The following is an 18,607-nucleotide window of genomic DNA, read 5'->3' as shown; positions in this document are numbered from 1 at the left end:
ACATGGTGAAACCCTGTCTCCACTAAAAATACAAAAATTAGCCAGGTGTGGTGGCACATGTCTGTAATCCCAGCTACTTAGGGAGGCTGAGGCAGGAGAATTGCTTGAACCCAGGAGGTGTAGATTGCAGTGAGCCAAGATTGCGCCACTGCACTCTAGCCTGGGTGGCAGAGCAACAATCCATCTCAAAAAAAAAAAAAAAAAAAGCTAACCCAGGGAAACAGTGCCAGGATCCAAATGGCTATCAGCCACTTTGCCACCTGGGTACTAACCAGCTGTATCTATTTGAGGATGTCTTCCCTGGAAGCCAGTTGAGAGAGGCTGTGCTTGCCAGTACAGATGTCTGCTCTTCAGAGCTTTAGCCCCCAGCAGGGAGGCAGCACCCCAGAAGGGGAGAGCCAGAAAGTCTGATTCTCTAGCCTGAGGCCCTTGCAAGGCTGATTGGCAATTGACCTTAAAGAAGGTGACTGGACCAGGCTCTCTGCTCCTTGTAATCATTGTGATTGGCCTAAGTGACTCTGCTGATCTGCCAAGGGCCTACGGCAACCGACATTCCCCTTTTATGTGTTCTTGTTTTCAGGATCTTGATTGTTAGTGATAGCAATGGCCTGGCTGCTCAGTACATGCCTGTGGTTCCAGGCATTCATGAATGCTTCCAACACCCACCTGAGGCAGACATAGCTCCTTCAGGACCTCTCATTGGGCCACTCAGAAGGCAGAGATAAAAAGGCTCTCTCAAAAGGAGCTTCATTTTGGAGTACAGATGGTACCTCCCTGGGTGGCAGGGCAGTTATCAAAAATGCATTGTGTAACAACTAAATGAGATAAGCCACGTCAATGCTGAGAACAGTGCCTAGCACATTGTAAGTGTTCAATTAATATTGACCCTTGTGATCATCTTTGTCACAATAACCCTTTATGCCAACTTTAAACGAGGACACTGGAGCTCAGACAAGGTAAATCTCTTGTCCAAGGACCTTCAGCTCTGGGATTTGAACCCAGTACTGCTCCTCTGGACTGGGCTTCCGATGCTGTTGAAACTCTCTACAATAATGCTGCAAAGGACTCAAGCAGTGGTATCCAGGCACTGACTCTGGGTACCCATCCCTGAGGACTTAAAAATGTGATCTCAGCCAGGCGCCATGGCTCTTGCCTGTAATCCCAGCACTTTGGGAGGCTGAGGCGCGCAGATCATGAGGTCAGGAGATTGAGACCATCCTGGCTAACACAGTGAAACCCCGTCTCTACTAAAAATACAAAAAATTAGCCAGGCGTGGTGGCAGGCACCTGTAGTCCCAGCTACTTGGGAGGCTGAGGCAGAAGAATGACATGAACCCGGGAGGCAGAGCTTGCAGTGAGCCGAGATCGTACCACTGCACTCCAGCCTGGGCGACAGAGCGAGACTCCATCTCAAAAAAAATAAAAATAAAACAAAACTGTGATCTCAGGAACTGGAGCTGTTGTGCCTACCCATGATGGGATGTTTGTCCCTAAGGGAGCCCTTGGGCAGGGTCGCCTGGCAGGACCCTGTGAAATCAGCCTTACTAAATAGAGGCACTTGGCTCTGATGCCCTTTCAGTCCTGCCCTTCCCACCCTGTTTCATGCCAACTCATAGCCCGAGACAGAGTGGGAGAGTCTCCAAAAGTTGCCTGGCCACATTACCTGACACAGGACAGTTTCTAGTTGCTTCTTTCTCTTCCCCAAGCCAGCACTGTCTCATTGTAGTGGTCAGATCCTGCTCCTCCTCTGTAGCCTCCTGAAGCCAGTGCTACTTCCTATGTCCCGGGTTTAATAATAAATTGCCCTCTGAGGTCAGCTGAGTAGCCTAGGAGTAGTTTTTCAAACTGATAGAGTGCACTCAGGAGACCTGAGTTCCAGTTTTAGCTTTTCCATTTACCAACTTGGGCAACAGTAATAATACGCATTAATGTAAAGTCGACAAAACAGTTTCTCAAACCTTATTTCATTTGATTATCATAAGACCGTGTGAGTCATCAGAACAGGTTCTTATTTCCATCTTACAGAAAAGAACATGAGGTTAAGCACTTCAAGATTGTACCTCTAGTAAGTGAAAACCAGAACATAAAGCTAAGGTTTTTAAATAGAAACTCCTATGCTATTTCTACACTGTTGTCATTTCTCCTCAACCCCACACCTAATTTTTTCATGTGCAAAGTGAGGGTATTTGGAATAAATGATCTCAGAATTTCTTTCTAGCTTTCAAGTAGAATCTAGTGTCTTGCAGTTTTCAGATGCACCCTGATTCATCTGAAGAACTCAGAGTTATGATATCTGCCTCACGGTTAATGATCTGTCAGATCTATTCCCACTTTTCTATCTGTATCCTGTAGCATTTGCTTTTTTTTTTTTTTTTTTTAAAGAGATGGGGGTCTCACTATGTTGCCTGGGCTGGTCTGGGCTCCAGTGATCCTCCTGTAGCTAGGACTACAGATGCAGGTCAGTGTGCCTGGCAACATTTCCATTGTTATAGTTCATGGCATAACCTTTCTTTAGAGAGGGGATCTATTTGAAATCAATAATAAGAGAACAACCAGTTTATTCCTTAGATTTCACTAGCAAATAAAGAAACAGTCTGACAAGTGTATGCACATCCCAGCATTTCCACTACTTTTGCATTAAACATCTAAGCACAGCACAGGCCTCTCTCTACAAAGAAGCCAGGTTTGTGACATCTAGAATCATCTACGAGGCATTTAGACCCTTGGAAAATGGCAATAAAAGTGCAAATGGATGGAAAGTATTGATGGCAAAAGGTATCTAAGTGATTAAACATTTAAAAATGGAGCAGGAAACGATTGTTGCCAGCAGAGAGAAGCTTCGGCTGAATCCTTGGTGCATTACTCTTGAAGGAATAATTATAAAAGCCCACAAACTGATGGCAACTCTCAATTACAGATGCTTCTCAAATGTATGGTATTTTTTTTTTTTTTTTTTTTGCTGTGGAGAGGAGGTGGTTAAGATTATTGGTAGTAGGCAAACCTAGATTCAAGGTCTTATTTCTTAGTAAATGACTCAACCTCTTTATGTCTTGGGTTTTTTCTTTATAGAACCTGTGTGATAATGATAACACTAAATAATATATCAAATAGTGATGTGAGGATTTTGAAGTTTAAAGAGATAAATTTGTTGTTGTATTTTCATCAAAGTAAAACATAGTCATGATTTTAAAAATATACTACTACTGACAGGTAGTAAACAGCAGGATTTTCTCTCTTCCTAATTTTTTTCATATTTTTATCCCTTCACTATGTCATTCTTTCTCTCTTATTGTAGAAATCTTTTTTCCCATTATTTTCATTTTTAAAAATTAAGGAAAATATTTACATAGAGTGGCAAGCACAGATCTTAAATGTTCAAGTCACTGAATTTTGACAAATACACCTGTGTAACCAACTCTCCAATCAAGATACAGACCATTCTAATCACCCCAGAAAGATTTCCCCTGCTCCCTTCCAGGCAGTCCTTATTCCCTGTAGGCAGCTATTCTGATTTTTGTCACTATAGATTAGTTTTGCATTCTTGACCTTTAGTTTAATGAAATTAAACAGTATACATTGTTTTGTATTTGGCTTTCTACTCCCAACAGACTTATCTGTGTTCTTGCAAGTAGTAGATTGTATCCTTTTGTGTTGCTATGAAGTATTCCATTGTTTGAATCTACCACAGTTTATTTCTCCAATTTCCTATTGATGAACATTTGGGTTGTTTCTGGTTTGTAGCTATTGTAAACACAACTGCTAGAAACATTCTTGTGTAAGTATTTTTGTGGTCACAGGTTTTCATTTCTTTTAGGTAAGTATTTAGGAATAGAATTGCTGAATCATCTGGTGTTTGTTTAACTTTGTAAAGAACTACTGCATGGTTTTCCAAAGTGGTTGCCATTTGACAATCCTACCAGCAACGTATGAGAATTCCAGTTCCTCCCTATCACCAACAATATTTGGTAATGTCAGTCTTTTTAATTGTAGGTTTTCAAATCCATATGAAGTGATATGATATATAACCAGTGGGGGAAATTGGGTGAAGAGTATTCTCTCTATACTCTCTTTGCAACTTCCTGTGAAGCTACAATTATTTTCAAAATAAAAAGGTTTTAACACATATTGGTTTTTCAAACTGGTATGAGGTGGTATCTCATTGTAATTTTCTTTTGCATTTATTTGATTTCTAATGACACTGAGTACTTTGTCATGTGGTTATTGGCCACTTATATATATCTTCTTTTGTGAAATGTCCGTTCAAGTTTTCATACATTTTCTTTTAATTGCCTTGTTTGTCTTTTTGTTATTAAATGACTTTCATCCTAGTCTATTAGGCTTAGATTTGATTGTGGCACTACTCTAGTAACACTACAGTGCTACTGTTGGTTAAAACCCAACAAGCCTAAGTTCACTGGGCTGATTTAGGAAAACATTACAGCCTGTTGCCAGGGAATAAAGTTGGTATGAGAAGAAATCACACACATTTAGGGAAGAATTTCAGACTCTTTTAGTTTCTCACAGAAATGAGTTTCACAGAGTTCAGATACCCTTGTTGTGAAGGTCTCTCCCTCCTACTCTCCTTGTAAACCTCCGTATCTCCTGAGATCATCCTGTGCCCAAAGATAGGCCAGCCTATTGTATTCACAGATTATTTATCCAACAAACATTGATGGGTGCCTGTAATGTGTCAAGCACTGGTTAGACTTGGGATCAGAAGATATATTAGACATGATCCTGACTTCTGAGACCCTATAATCTAGTTGGCAAAACATATAGTAAAAATAATGAAATAAAATGAATGAAGTACACAGGGATAACTGCAAAAAGGAGTATGCGCAATGTGGCAGCACAAAGGCATGATCAACTAACCCCATCCTGGGACACCAGGGAAGTTCTATTTTTCCCAAGCTTTAGGAAGGCATTATATAGACATTTCTCCCATGTCTATCCCAAGGAAACATAGCCAAGCTGGAACTGAAGATGACTACAGCAGAAACATCTTCAAGCTTGGCTGTTGCAAAAGCATCCATAATCAGAAAAAGAGCTTCCTCACATCACCTTGCCACAGAGGGGTGCAGAGGAGACTCAGGTGGTGGCCATGTTGGTGGTTCATTCACATTTTACACTAATGAGTGAAGGGCTATTTCCTTCCTATTTGCATCCACAGCTGGAGGTATAGATTTTTCAAGACATAGGGCCGGATTTGTGCAGAGGTATAGAGTAGAAAGAGACCATGTTGTTTCTACCAGAACTTTTTAATTTGGACATCTGAGTAGATGGTGTTGCTGTTAACAGAGACGGGATCTAACAAGAAGAAGGAAACTAGTTGTTTGGGGAATTGTTATTTTGGTTGTGATTGTTCGGTGACTTTTCACAGAAGCCCAGTAAAACGGGAATAATGCAACAGTTCAGTGGATTAAATGAGGAGATACCTGTAAGGTACCTGGTAGGTTATACTTGACAATTGTTATTAATTGATGTAGTGAGGAGCTGAGAGACCTGGCTGAATCAGATTTTTATGTTAATCTAATTCCAAGTTGTGCTCCAGTTCCTTAACTCTCTCCACTTAGGACAATATCATGTAACTTTTTCCTGACCCAGAACAGACAGGAAGTCAGCCCAGAGCTTCCTTACTAGGGCACCGTGGAGTCTCCCAACCCCAGGGCTTAGCTGTCCTGGCAGTTTGGGTCACGACCTGAAGAATGGGTGGCCTTGGGCCAGGTGCGGTGGCTCATGCCTGTAATCCCAGCACTTTGGGAGGCTGAGATGGGCGGATCACTTGAGGTCAGGAGTTCGAGACCAGCCTGGCCAACATGGTGAAACCCCATCTCCACTAAAAATACAAAAATTAGCTGGGCTTGGTGGTGGGTGCCTGTAATCCCAACTACTCAGGAGGCTGAGGCAGGAGAATCGCTTGAACCTGGGAGGCGGAGGTTGCACTGAGATGATGCCACTGTACTCCAGCCTGGGAGACAGAGCAAGATTCTGTCTCAAAAGAAAAAAAAAAAGAATGGGTGGCCTTGTACCTAACTCACCTGCTTCCACCGGCCCTGTGGCGACACAGACTCTTGAGTGTGTTGAAATAAACTTAGTTGAATCTGGGCTTTCAGTCTGAGGAGGCTGTCATAGAAAGCAAGGAGTCTATTGAAATTCAACAGGGCCGGGTATGGTGGCTCACGCCTGTAATCCCAGCGCTTTGGAAGGCTGAGGCGGATGGATCTCCTGAGGTCAGGAGTCTGAGACCAGCCTGGCCAATATGGTGAAACCCTGTGTCTACTAAAAATACAGCAGTTAGTCGGGCATGGTGTTGTGCTCCTGTAATCCCAGCTACTCGGAAGAGTGAGGCAGGAGAATTGCTTGAGCCCGAAAGAGACGGTGGTTTCAGTGAGCCGAGATCGTGCCACTGCATTCCAGCCTAAGTGACAGAGCAAGACACCGTCTCAAAAAAAATGAGACGGTGAGGAAGAGGCATCGTGCACATTTCCCAAAGCCTCTGCACTTGTCTTTATCACTTTCTCCTTTCGGCTTTCTTACTTAACTGGGAACAATGAGATCATTTTCTCCTTTCAGTTTTCTTACTTACTGGGGACAATTAGACAGCATTGGTGGATCCCGGAGATAGTTGAAGAGAACAAGAACACAGCTGGAAATGACAGAGCTAATGGCAGCATTTATAAGTCAGGAGGGGGAAGCACCAGCAGCAGATTATCTGTGAAGAAAGCCAAAAGGAGCACCATGTTTCAGGTTTATCCAGCAATGACTTGAGTTATGTGCAAGTCAAGCTGCTTAGAAAGTGTATTCGTTTCCTATTATTGCTGTTACAAATTACCAGAAATTTAGTGGCTTAAAACAATACAAATGTATTATCTTACAGTTCTGGAAGCCAGAAGTCCAAAACAAATTAGGTGGGCTGCATTGCTTTTAGAGGCTCTAGGGGAGAATCTGTTTCCTGCCCATTTCCACCTTTCAGAGACTGCTTGCGCTCCTTGGCTCATGGCCCCACATTACTCTGACCTCTGCTTCTTTCCTCACATCTCCTTCTCTGACTCTGACAATCCAGCCTCCCTCTTATAAGGATCCTTAAGTTAAATAATCAGGATTATCTTCCCATTTGAAGATCCTTAACTGAATCACATCTGTAAAGTCCCTTCTGCCATGTAAGATAACATACTCTCAGATTCTGGGGATTAGGATGTGGATATCTTCATGGGGGCAGTTATTCTGCCTACCATAGTAGAGATGACCCTCTCATCCCACTCCAGCCTGAGTTTTCTTTTGGCCCAAGGACCTCTCTGAAGATGTTCAGTAAATGCCTCTGAGTGCTGGAGTGACCACACTTTTACCAGCTCCAGGTATCCCCTGGAGAGTTCTCTGGGCATTGGCTTCCACCTGGGTTTTGTTCCTTCCCCTAAAAGAGATTTGTGAAGCTGTTTGGAGTCCTTCTCTATGGGGTTTTCCAATGGGAGTCAGCTTCATCCCAGCTTTGTGTCAGAGTGGATGTCATTACCTGGTAACACTAAAGTCATGGCCTGGTCCAGCCATAAGGCCATCCTAAGATCATCATCTCTGAGAGCTGTCACCCTGGGGTTCCCAATAGGCTGATGGCTGCTACTGCAAACAAAATGAGGATAAATGTGCAGAGTTTTTGAAGGCCCAGAAACCAGCAGGGGAGGGTGAGAGGGCAGTGCACCCCGACCTGGGCGAGGCTGAGAATTTCCCCTGGTAAGTCTGAATCCCTAGAGAAATTGCTAGATCCAAGGAAGCTGTGCCACTTCCTCTGGTCCAGAGTAGTTTAAAAGTGAATTGGGGTGGCCCTCCTGGGCTTGGCTAGCATGTTGCCAGTCAGACTGAAAGGCAGGCAAGCGTCTTTTTGGCTTTTTGGAATCTCCTCCACTGCCCCCATGTGCAGGGTTGGCTGGTGACTGTCTGATTGCATCTCACTTTCAACCCATGTGTTCCTATAAATCTCAAACCTCATTTTAAGCCTTTTCTCCATTCTGTTTGCCCTCATTATCCCCCTCTCTTTGGTTCCAGTCTATGTGACTGAGTACTCTAATTTATTCAGCATTTAGTGCTTTTTAACCTGAGTATTCACAATGATTAATATCACATTCTGCCTCTTATAATTTAATTCTGAGGCGCATCCAGGGTTATCATTTCCCCAAAAGACAGTTAGGTAAGACAAAGTTGTCTATTAAAAAATCTCACATTGGTGAGATCAGAGAACACACAAAGGAGCAGGCTTAACTTTAAGACTCTGGGCCCTGCTGAGTCTAGAAAATTCTAGAAAAGGCCCACTGGCTTTGTGTTTATGTTAAAAATAAACAGTTCTCTAACAGAAAGCTGGCCCTCCTGGCTGGGAGGTATGCATAGTGCTTTGGCAGAGCTTGCATCTGAGGACACAGGTTTGATATGGAGGGCTACAAAAGTGTGCAACATGGAGGCCAGGCATGGTGGTTCATGCCTGTAATCCCAGCACTTTGGGAGGCTGAGGCGTGTGGATCACGTGAGGTCAGGAGTTCGAGGCCAGCCTGGCCAACATGGTGAAACCCTGTCTCTGCAAAAATACAAAAATTAGCCGGGCGTGGTGGCGAGCACCTAGAATCCCAGCTATGAGGCTGAGGCAGGAGAATCGCTTGAACTGGGAAGGCAGAGGTTGTAGTGAGCCCAGATTGCACCACTGTACTCCAGCCTGGGTGACAGAGTGAGACTCCGTCTCAAAAAATAAATAAATGAAAATAAAAAACTATGCACCGTGGGGCGTGCGGCTGGCTATGGGGTAGCCTGGGTGGTGGGGGTGGGCTGTGTTCCCCTGGGGAGGGAAGGTCCTGCATTACCAGCAGCAGCAGCGTGCAGGCGCCAGGCTGTCTGGAAGGCTCACGCCTGAGGCTGCAGCTGCTGGAATGTCAGGTCACTGGCCCAACAGGAGAGAGCAGGGAGCCCCCAGAAAGGCAGGGAGTTGGAAAAAGAAAGACTGGTGGCTTTTCATGTAGGAAGAAAAGGTGTTTACATTCCAGGCTCCTGATTCCCTTGGCTGCCCCTTGTTGGAGACCAAATCTGCCTCTGCTTCCCTCTGGCACTCAGCTTCTAGATACCTGCCTTTCATCTTGTCTATGCAGTGCCGCACCCTCCAGCTCCCTTCTCCTCTCTCCTTCACGCCTCGCCTCGCCTCCCGTCAGCCAGTCTCCTCCTCAAGTCCCCAGCTGTGAGCTGAAAAACAGGCTTTGGCAACCCTCCCCCAGACCCCACCCCTGCTTTTCATGCATGTTTTATGACAGCAGCTTGATTGATGTCTGCCCTCTTTCCAGTTCCAGTGCTCAGTGCGCCACGGCCACCCCCACCTGCCCCTCATGATTTCACATGCCTCTGTGCTTTTGCTGGGAGAGCAGTGAGGGGTTTCATTTGCAGGGGCTCCCAGCTGAGTAGCAGGCTGAAAATCAGCCTGGATCTTGAATAAACCCCAGAAAGTAGGAGGAAGGAAGGAAGGAAGGGTGGGAAAAAGGGAGGGGAGAGAGAGAGAAAAAAAGAAATGAAAGGAAAGAAAAGAAACAGAGGAGGCTCCTTCAACATGTCTGAGAGGTTGAATGGAGATCTGAAGGAAACATTAGGATCATTTACACAGGGACTGGGAGCTCTGAGCCCTGAAGGAGGTGAAAACTATTTTCTGCACATTTTACTCTAGATATCTGAAAGGACATTAAAGTGGGGAGGAGCTGCCAATTGGAATAGAATTCACCTCGCTGATTCTGCTTGAATTAACCATTAAAGATGCAGGTTGACAAAAGAAATATATATTTTTAGGTCATTAAGAAATGCCTCATTAATTCAGGGGTGCCCCAGCACTGTGCTTAACATTTGTAGCGGGTTGACCCAGACTTTCTGAGGCGTGCATAGCCCACCAAGTTTTGCTTTGGGATGGGGAGATAACTGGCCAGTCAGCTGTGGCGCCAGTGCCACCAACAATGTTCTCACCTAGTGAAGGCATGGTTGAGGAAGAACAGGGAGGCTCCCTGGGGAGGGAGTGTAGGTAGGGACCATGGTGAAGCAGTCCAAGCTGAAAGCCAGCACCTGTCCCACCCTCCTTTGTTCTGCTCTCTGCCTGGCTGCTTTTGTAACACAGTCCCAGAGCCTGGTGTTGAGGGCCTCTGCTCAATTGACGTCTCAGGATAGCTCTAATTCTAGATGTCTCACCAAATCCTGGGTCTTCAGAGACTGCTTGATTTTATTTACCAAATGCACAAATAGAGTGTACTGTGTGCCAGGCACTGTTCAAAATGCTGTACTCACATTGACTCAAATAATGTTTATAACAATCCTATGTGATGGATACTGTTTTTATCTCCATTTTACAGATGAGGCAACTGAGGCATAAAGCCGCTAAGTAGCTGGCCTGAGTCCATGCAGCTGGGGAGTGGTAGAGCTGGGATTTGAACCTGGACACTCTGGCTCCAGATCCATATGCTCAGTCACTGTTTTGCTGCATCTCATGGTGGCTCCCCTTGTCTCCCCGTTCGATATCCAGCCTCCCGGTTTTGCGGGGAAGAGGAGTTGTGATAGAGTGAGTGGAGCACAGAACTGGAAGTCAGTAAACATGAATTCTAGTTTGGGTTGTGCCGCTATCTGGCTGGGTGACCCTATGCAATGCATTTAAGTTTTCTGAGCCCCAATTCCATGGCTTTCAGAGGAGGGAGTAGATTAGATGACTTCTATACCTCTCTAACACCGGATGCTTGCAATGCCCCCATAGAGCACTCAGTCAAGCTTGGAACCAACCATCTCTGCAGGCTCCTGGATCTCACCTTGGGGGTTATCAAGAAAAGGTAGGAGCAGGAAGGAAAGTGAATATGTTCAGCAAAAAGGTGATGGGTGGGCAGTATCTGTTGGGAAGGAGGACAGCTCAGTGTGGCTCTGGCTGCAGCCCTCCATGAGGGGAACAGTGAGGGCTTGAATAATGATCTTAGCAGGGTCATCCCCATGGCAGGCTCAGTAAGAAATTGCTAAAAGCTATTCTTATCCAGCCGAAGATTATCCAAGTAGGTCTCCTCCCACACAGGTTTTAACAGATAGTTTCCAACCTCTCCTGAATGACTTGGAGGAATGTACACTTTAATGGGTTAAAATGGACCATTTTACCTAATTAAGAGTCCAGATCAGGGAATTTAAAATATCCTATTTCCTCAATGCTAAGATATATGACTTTCATGCTGAGCATTTCTGAAACTGCAATAAATTTTATAATATTTATCTTCAATTTAGTGTTTCTTCACACACACATACACACACACACAATTAAAATGGATATTTGTTTGAATTAAAGGAATACAACAACATGATTGTTACTCTAGTTTATGCTGGTAGGGGGATAGAAATCATGAACCCCCATAGGCAGAAATGGGCTTCAGGGAGGCTAGGAACCCTGATTTGGAAAGCTGTAGGGAACCCTTGCAGTATGTCTGTCTCTCATCTTTGCCTCTTTCTCTGTAGCTGATACATTGTTTGCTATTTCTACCGACTTGCTACCTCTGCTCCTCTACCTCTGCTACCTCTGCTACCTCTGCACAGCACAAAAACAGACAACCACAGCCCCACAGAAGGACCAAATCTCTCTGTCTCCATGTTTCTCTGTCTCTCTCTCCTGCAATCCAAATACCGGGGGAAGGATTTCTATTGGCTTTTATAGTCCAATCAACTGATGTTGGAATGGGAAGTAGGGTCACATTTTACAAGGTGGCTACCAACTATTACTGTGAGTCCACAGGTCAGGCTAGGAGACTCTGTAGATTGCGGCAGACATTCCACAAGATCTTCCTCACAGGAGGCAAAGGTTTGTTGGTGCAGAACATCATTCCCATGGCACTAGGTGTTGAGGTTGGGAGGACAGTAGGCAGGGCTCCTAGAGACAAGTCACCTAACTAGAGCCAGGAGGATTGCTAGCTCCTGACACCAAGCCTGATGGTCAGATCAGCAGTGACCATGCTGACTCATGGGGCTGGCTAGGGCTTTGTCCTGATCACCATCTCCCTCAGAAAGGACTAGAGAGCAGAGGTTTCATTGCCCAAGGGCATTGCCCAAGGAGGAATGGTAGGGAGGCAGAAATGGCAAATTCTAGAAGAGCATTCTCCTAGAAGGGCTTATTAACATGTAGCACCAGAGAGGCTCTTTTCAAAATGCTCTCTGAGGGTCCGTATTTTGCTGATCTCAGCTTCAGACTGTCCAAAACAATCATAGCCCCTCCAAGGCTTCTGGAGGTGAGAGGGGGTAGAGCAGATGGGTGGGGAGGAAGCCAGGGAGCCAGGAAGCCAGGGTCCTGGCCTGCGGCATCTGATCCCTCTCCCTTTTCAGTTTTCAGGGACCTGCCAACTCAGTGTGTTTGAGTGGCTGGAGTCCAGCTGCAATACTGTGTGGTCCGAGACCAGGTGATGGTTCCCTCCCATGACCCCTATTCTCCCCTCTCTGGCCCAAGTCCTGGAGGGAACAACCTCTCCGCCTGCCCTAGAAGCTGTGGGGGCAGCTGACGTTGATGAGCCACCGACCTGGAGATTTGGCAGAAGACCTGCTTGCTAAGTTGGAGAGAGGATGTCAAGTGAGAAAGAGCAGTGTTCAGTGCCAGCTCCTCTGAAACCCAGGGGAGCCAGGGAGTAGACAGGGCCAGCGAGGACAGGGAGGGAAAGCAGTAGCTTCCCAGGGCAAAAGGGGAAAAACACACATACACACACAAAAAACAGCAGCTAAGAAGACTATTTTTATTTCTAATTCTCCAGGCATCACTCCCAAGAGATCTGTCCAAGTGACTCAGAAATGTCCTTGTGGCACTGAGAAATTGCCTAGTTTGTGAGTACAGAGAACTCAGTGCTGGCGAATAAACATCCCTGCTCTTCTTCAACCACTCACCCCTACCCACCACTCCGTTGGAAACGATTCTGGGACATACTGATGTCTGTGCAGTGTACAGATGTCTGAATTTGAGAAGAGTTGCTGGCAAACAGTAAGAAGCACTGGTATACATGAGCTGTCGAGGTAGCAAGAAGGAATGCCTGCAAATATGGCCCTTTTGGCGTACTGGATTGGTGATGCTTGAGCCAACACATCTTCATAATTCGCTGTGTGAACTGAGAGAAGTTATCTTAAATGTCTGTCTCCACTTTGTTATTTAAAAAATGTATAATTAGGGCCAGGCACAGTGGCTCATGCCTGTAATCCCAGCACTTTGGAAGGCCGAGGCAGGCGGATCACTTGAGGTCAGGAGTTCGAGACCAGCCTGGCCAACATTTAGTAGAGACCAGCTGTCTCTACTAAAAATACAAAAATTAGCCAAGTATGGTGGCACATGCCTGTAATCCCAGTTACTTGGGAGGCTGAGGCAGGAGAATTGCTTGAGCCTGGGAGGCGGAGGTTGCAGTGAGCCGAGATTGCACCACCTCACTCCAGCCTGGGTGACAGAGTGAGCTCTGTCTCAAAAATAAATACATACATACATACATACATACATACATACATAAAATATAATTATGAATACTGCTGAGAAAGGGTAATGGGGATAGCTATGTCCACTCTTTCCCTCTCTGTTGTGTGACTGGAGATTAATCCTATTCATTAATTTTTCTTGGTCCTCTCCCAGTCCTCTTCCATCCACCTGGTTATCTAGTCCCTTCTTTAACCCTCAGAGTCAAAGTTTCAGCCCACCTGGTGATTCTTCCTCCAATGTATATTTTAAATCCATCCTCTTCTTTCCATCTTTCTAATGGAGTCTCACCTTGTCCATTGCAATCTTGTTCTGCGAGCTTCTCAATCCATTCTCCTCACAGCCCAGGGTGCTTTTCATGAGTAAGATCATGTCACTCTCTTTCTTAAATCCCCCAATGACTTCTTTTTCCCTTAGAGCACACCCAACATGATATGGTGCCTATTGACCACTCTAGTGATATAGATTCTTCAAGTTCTAGAACACATCAAATTTTCCCTGTCCTGGAGCCTTTGCACATGCTGCTGTCTCCATATGGAAAGCTAAGCTTCTAAGTCTGCCCCTGGATCCTCCTCTTCATTCATGCCTCAAAATGAAATTATTTCTTCCTCACAACATATTTTCCCTTGCAACCATATCTAAATAGTTCTCTTCCCCTGTCTTTTTTTTTTTTTTTTTTTTTTTTTTGAGATGGAGTCTCACTCTGTTGCCCAGGCTGGAGTGCAGTGGTGTGATCTCAGCCCACTACAACCTCCACCTCCCGGGTTCAAGCAATTCTCCCACCTCAGCCTCCCAAGTAGCTGGGATTACAAGTGTGCACCACCATACCCAGCTAATTTTTGTATTTTTAGTACAGGCAGGGTTTCTCCATGTTGGCCAGGCTGGTCTTGAACTCCTGACTTCAGGTGATCCACCCAGCTCGGCCTCCCAAAGTGTTGGAAGTACAGGCATGAGCCACCGTGCCTGGCCTGCTCCCCTGTCTTGTGTGTGCCTGATGACTGCATTCTGTTCATTACTCTCACACCACCTTTCTTGATTCACATGTATATGTGTGTTTGTGTGTATCCTTAAATACTTGTGTGCTGTTTGTCTCCCTCCCCAGGTTGTAAACTCGTGGCAGGGACATGGCAGGGACCATGTCTGTTTGGTCCACCTCTAAACATCAGCACCTAGGCTGGGTACCCGGGATAGAATAGGTGCTTCATAAATATTTACTTCTTTTTTGAGCACCTACTATGTGCAACGAATTGTACTATGTACTGGGCAATAGGTTTGACCCTTATTACACATGATTTCACTATTGTTTGAGTGTGAGGGGAGAAAAGGTTATGGCTCTTTCAATACTGAAAGCACTCTGAAATTACATTTAAGAAACAAAACAGGAAAAACAGACTTATCTGTTTGCTACATGTGAAATGTTCCACTGAGGAAATGAAATGAGGTGAAAGGGAGTTTTATTTAAAGTCACTCCAGCCCAGGTGTAAAACGTTGGGTCTACTGAGCCATTTTCTCTAGAGGTTTCTGGAGTGCTTTCCTCAGTCAAGCCATTACAACATTAAAGTAGCTTAAAGAAAACCATAAAGATAGTCCTGAGTCACTTAAAGAATACGACACTTCTCATTTTTCCATCTTTTCATGCAGATAAATGTATGTATTTCTCCAGAGTATTTATGAATTTTAGTTCTTAAACAAGTTGGCCATGTTTGCATTCAATTAAAGGAGAGGGAATAAAATTCCTTTTCTATGCAGAGGAAGAAATTGAATTGAGAGTGAAATGTGCAAGGAAGATTGCTGAGTTGGAGTTGGGAAGCTGAAATTCTGAGTCCCCTCCTACCACTAACTCTGATCATCTCACTGGGCCTCAGCTTTTTGACTTGGAGAATCCAGGGGCTGGGCTAAATTCACTTCCTCCTTCCCACTTCAGCAGATCAGGATGGATATTGGCAAAATGGGAAACCCTGGGCCAGGGCCCCCAGTCACATACTCTCTACCCAGAGACACAATTTGGTGTGACTTCTGGTTCCTCGGGGTCTGCTTTGTAAGGGAGTGCTTGGTCACTGTCATGAACCCACATCCACCCTGTGTTAGATATTCTGCTGGGTAGGGCCTTGGAGTCCAGAGATCCATTCATTCAACAAACATTGATCAAGCACCTACTACACACAGTGCCAGGAGCTAGGCATGTAATGGTGATGAAGGAAAGGCTAAGTCCCTGCCCCCGGGGAGTTTAAGTCTAATGGAAGAGACAGGTAGCAAGCAAAGATGAGGGAAGAAGTACAGTGTGAAGTGCTAAGAGGATGGCAGTAAGGTGCTGAGATAAAGGGCGGCACAGGGAAACCACTTGGAAAGTGATCTGAGAAGACTTCCCAGAGGAGGTGGCATCCTTTTGATGGATCACAAAGGAGGAAGGGAGATGGAGAGCAAGTGTGAAAGCAAGAAAGGGCTCAGAGTGTCAGAGGAACTCAAAGAAAGCCAGAGTGGTTTGCGCTGTTGGTTCTGGCAGAGAGGCTTGAACTGAGGATGGTGAAAATGGTAGAGGCCAAACCATGCAGGGCCTTCTGGGTCAAGATAAGCAGTTCGGAGTTTATTTTAAGTAAAGGAAATAGTATGGTAGGATTTACTTGTCACAAGTGGGAAATTTCCCACTTCAAACAGTTCAGTGTGCAAACATTTAATTTTATTTATTTTCCTATGATGAAATTCAGCTTAGCTCATTCCGCCTTGTCAATGCAAGAAGCATCGTCAGTTCTCACGGTCTCTTTTGAATACTCTCTCAGCAGTTTCAGAATTCTTCCCTTCCTTTTCCTTCTGTCCGGATGTGCTCAAAATTCCAAGGGGCTTGTGTGTCTTCCTGGCATTGCAGGAGGGGCATCTGACCAATGTTGATCTTCTGCTGCATTCATGCACCTTGGTATCTGTTCTCTAGTGGAACTGAGGAATCTCCCCTTCCTATATCTGCCTTCATCTCAGTTATGCCACCTCTCAGGTCTCCAGTTTGAGTCATCCACCCTGACTCACCACTGGGTCCCCTTGCCCACTTTATGGTGATCCCCCAGCAGGCCCTGAAGCTCTCAAGTTTCAGCTGTTACCTGACTTTGGCTCATTCTTAAACCTCACTCCCTCATTTGCCTAAATAAACTCCTCTTCCACCCCAGCCTCTGAGGCTTCTTCTCCTGCCTTTCTCTCTCTTAGCCTCTTAGGCCAAATCTCGTAGGAGAGAGGCCAAATCCTAAGATATTCTTTCCTGTCTCCTGTGGGGGGAGAGGTTTTACAACTACCTTTGTCAGATGTGTTCCCTATGCCATAGGAAGCAAGGATGACAAGCTGGGGGGAAGGTTGTAAGGAAGATAGTATCTCAGATCCACATCCTGCCTAAATCAGCTCACCCATACTAATGGAGCATCTCTTGCTGGTGCTGGAATCTCTGTCTCCTTCCAGAGTTGCAGAGGGTAGTGGGGCCCACTTCTTTGCATTCTCAGATTTCCAAATCTTTTTGTTTTGATCCCATGCAATGGTAATGAGGGTAGGGCAGAAGGCTCCACATGTGTTTACATGTGCTCACTTTCCAATCCATTCTGTAAGCTCTACCCTTTGGTTGCCCAAACAAGACATAGGGTCACTTGAAGTATGGTGGTGGCAGTGGAGATGAAAAAGCTAGCAACTTCAGAGGCTGCCAATGAATGGGATATGAGGGTGAAGGGTGAAAGAGGAAGCAAGGATAACTCCCTGGCTTCTGGCTTCAGCAGCTGGGTTCTAGGTGGTGTCACCATTGCAGGGAGGGAGGAAGTGGTGGTGCAGATTTAGGGATGAATATGAAGAATCTAGTTTTGTGGCCAGGTGCGGTGGCTCACGCCTGTAATCCCAGCACTTTGGGAGACTGAGGCGGGTGGATCACCTGAGGTCAGGAGTTCGAGACCAGCCTGGCCAACATGGCGAAACCCCTTCTCCATTAAGAATACAAAAATAAGCCTGGCATGGTGGCTCATGCCTGTAGTCCCAGCTATTCAGGAGACTGAGGCAGGAGAATCATTTGAACCTGGGAGGCGGAGGTTGCAGCGAGCCGAAATCGCGCCACTGCACTCCAGCCTGGATGACAGAGCAAGACTCCATCTAAAGAAAAAAAGTCTAGTTTTATGTGTATTGAGATGTTTGTGAGAGCCAGCCAAGGTAGAGATGTCAAGCAGATAATTAGATTTCTGAGATTAGGGCTTGGAGGAGAGGTCTGCAAGGTAGTATAAATTTGGGAGATGTCAGCAGACAGATGGTATTTTAAATCATGGGACTGCACCTTAAATAGTCTCAAGTGTTTGGGAGGGCCTTAGGCTTTGCTGTGTGGTCCTGAAAATTTCATCCTATGATTTGGGTATGGGGAAGAGGTTAGGCTCCAGATCGCTTATTGAGGGGCCATTGGGACCCAGGTAGTGGATCACTGATCCCCTGAGAGCTGCCGCTGCTCAGTCTGTAGACTGTTGGTCTGGTAATCTGTGGGAGCTCTCAGCTGGGGATAGCAATTGGGACAGGCCCAGCTTTGGAGGAGCAGGAGTAGGAGTGGGGAATAATCTGCCCAGCTGGATGGGTCAGGTGGAGGAGGATCGTTCTAGATGAGAAGAAGGTACCTAGCCCTAAAGTTTCAATTGTCCTTTGAGCCTCAAGGCTGCAGGTGCAGTACAAGGTAATGAAGAAGTAGAGCATGAGGCCCCCATACCCAGGTCTGACAGCCTGGGACCATACACACCTGAACGTATTCTCCCTTAAAGGAAATCACAGTCAAATGACATGATCTCTCACATTTGCAACCCTTGTGAATCCAGAAACCCATGTAATTCAGACTCAGAGGGGTGTCACGTTCAGGAAAGTCTGTTCAGTCTTTACTTATAATTTAAAAGGAATTCGGTGTTTAATGTGAGGGTTATTAAAGGCATCCAAATATCTAGCCCAGGCTGGGTGCGGTGGCTCATGTCTATAATCCTAGCATTTTGGGAAGCCAAGGCTGGAGGATCACTTGAGCCCAGGTGTTCCAAACCAGCCTGAGTAGCAAAGTGAGACCCTGTCTCTACAAAAAAAAAAAAATTTTAAATTAGCCAAATGTGGTGGAACATGCCTGTGGCTCCAGTTATTCAGGAAGCTGAGGTGGGAGGTTCG

General features: G+C 45.5%; 1 protein-coding gene across 1 annotated transcript in view, besides 1 other annotated feature; it reads left to right on the top strand.

Annotated features, from left to right (window-relative positions):
• NMNAT2 (nicotinamide nucleotide adenylyltransferase 2) overlaps positions 1 to 18,607 on the top strand; it is a 170,144-nt gene that overhangs the window by 77,853 nt on the left and 73,684 nt on the right. The window lies entirely within an intron of this gene.
• Positions 8,904 to 9,469: an enhancer, noted in NCBI's record as "H3K4me1 hESC enhancer chr1:183300194-183300759 (GRCh37/hg19 assembly coordinates)". NCBI's record gives its function as "activates a minimal SCP1, AML or CMV promoter by ChIP-STARR-seq in primed H9 embryonic stem cells {active_cell/tissue: H9 hESC(primed)}" and the evidence as "EXISTENCE:reporter gene assay evidence [ECO:0000049][PMID:30033119]".

The sequence above is a fragment of the Homo sapiens genome, chromosome 1 (assembly GCF_000001405.40).
Source record: "Homo sapiens chromosome 1, GRCh38.p14 Primary Assembly".
Classification (NCBI taxonomy): domain Eukaryota; kingdom Metazoa; phylum Chordata; class Mammalia; order Primates; family Hominidae; genus Homo; species Homo sapiens.
Note: the sequence above shows the minus strand (reverse complement) of the source record. Positions and strands in the feature narration are given on the sequence as shown.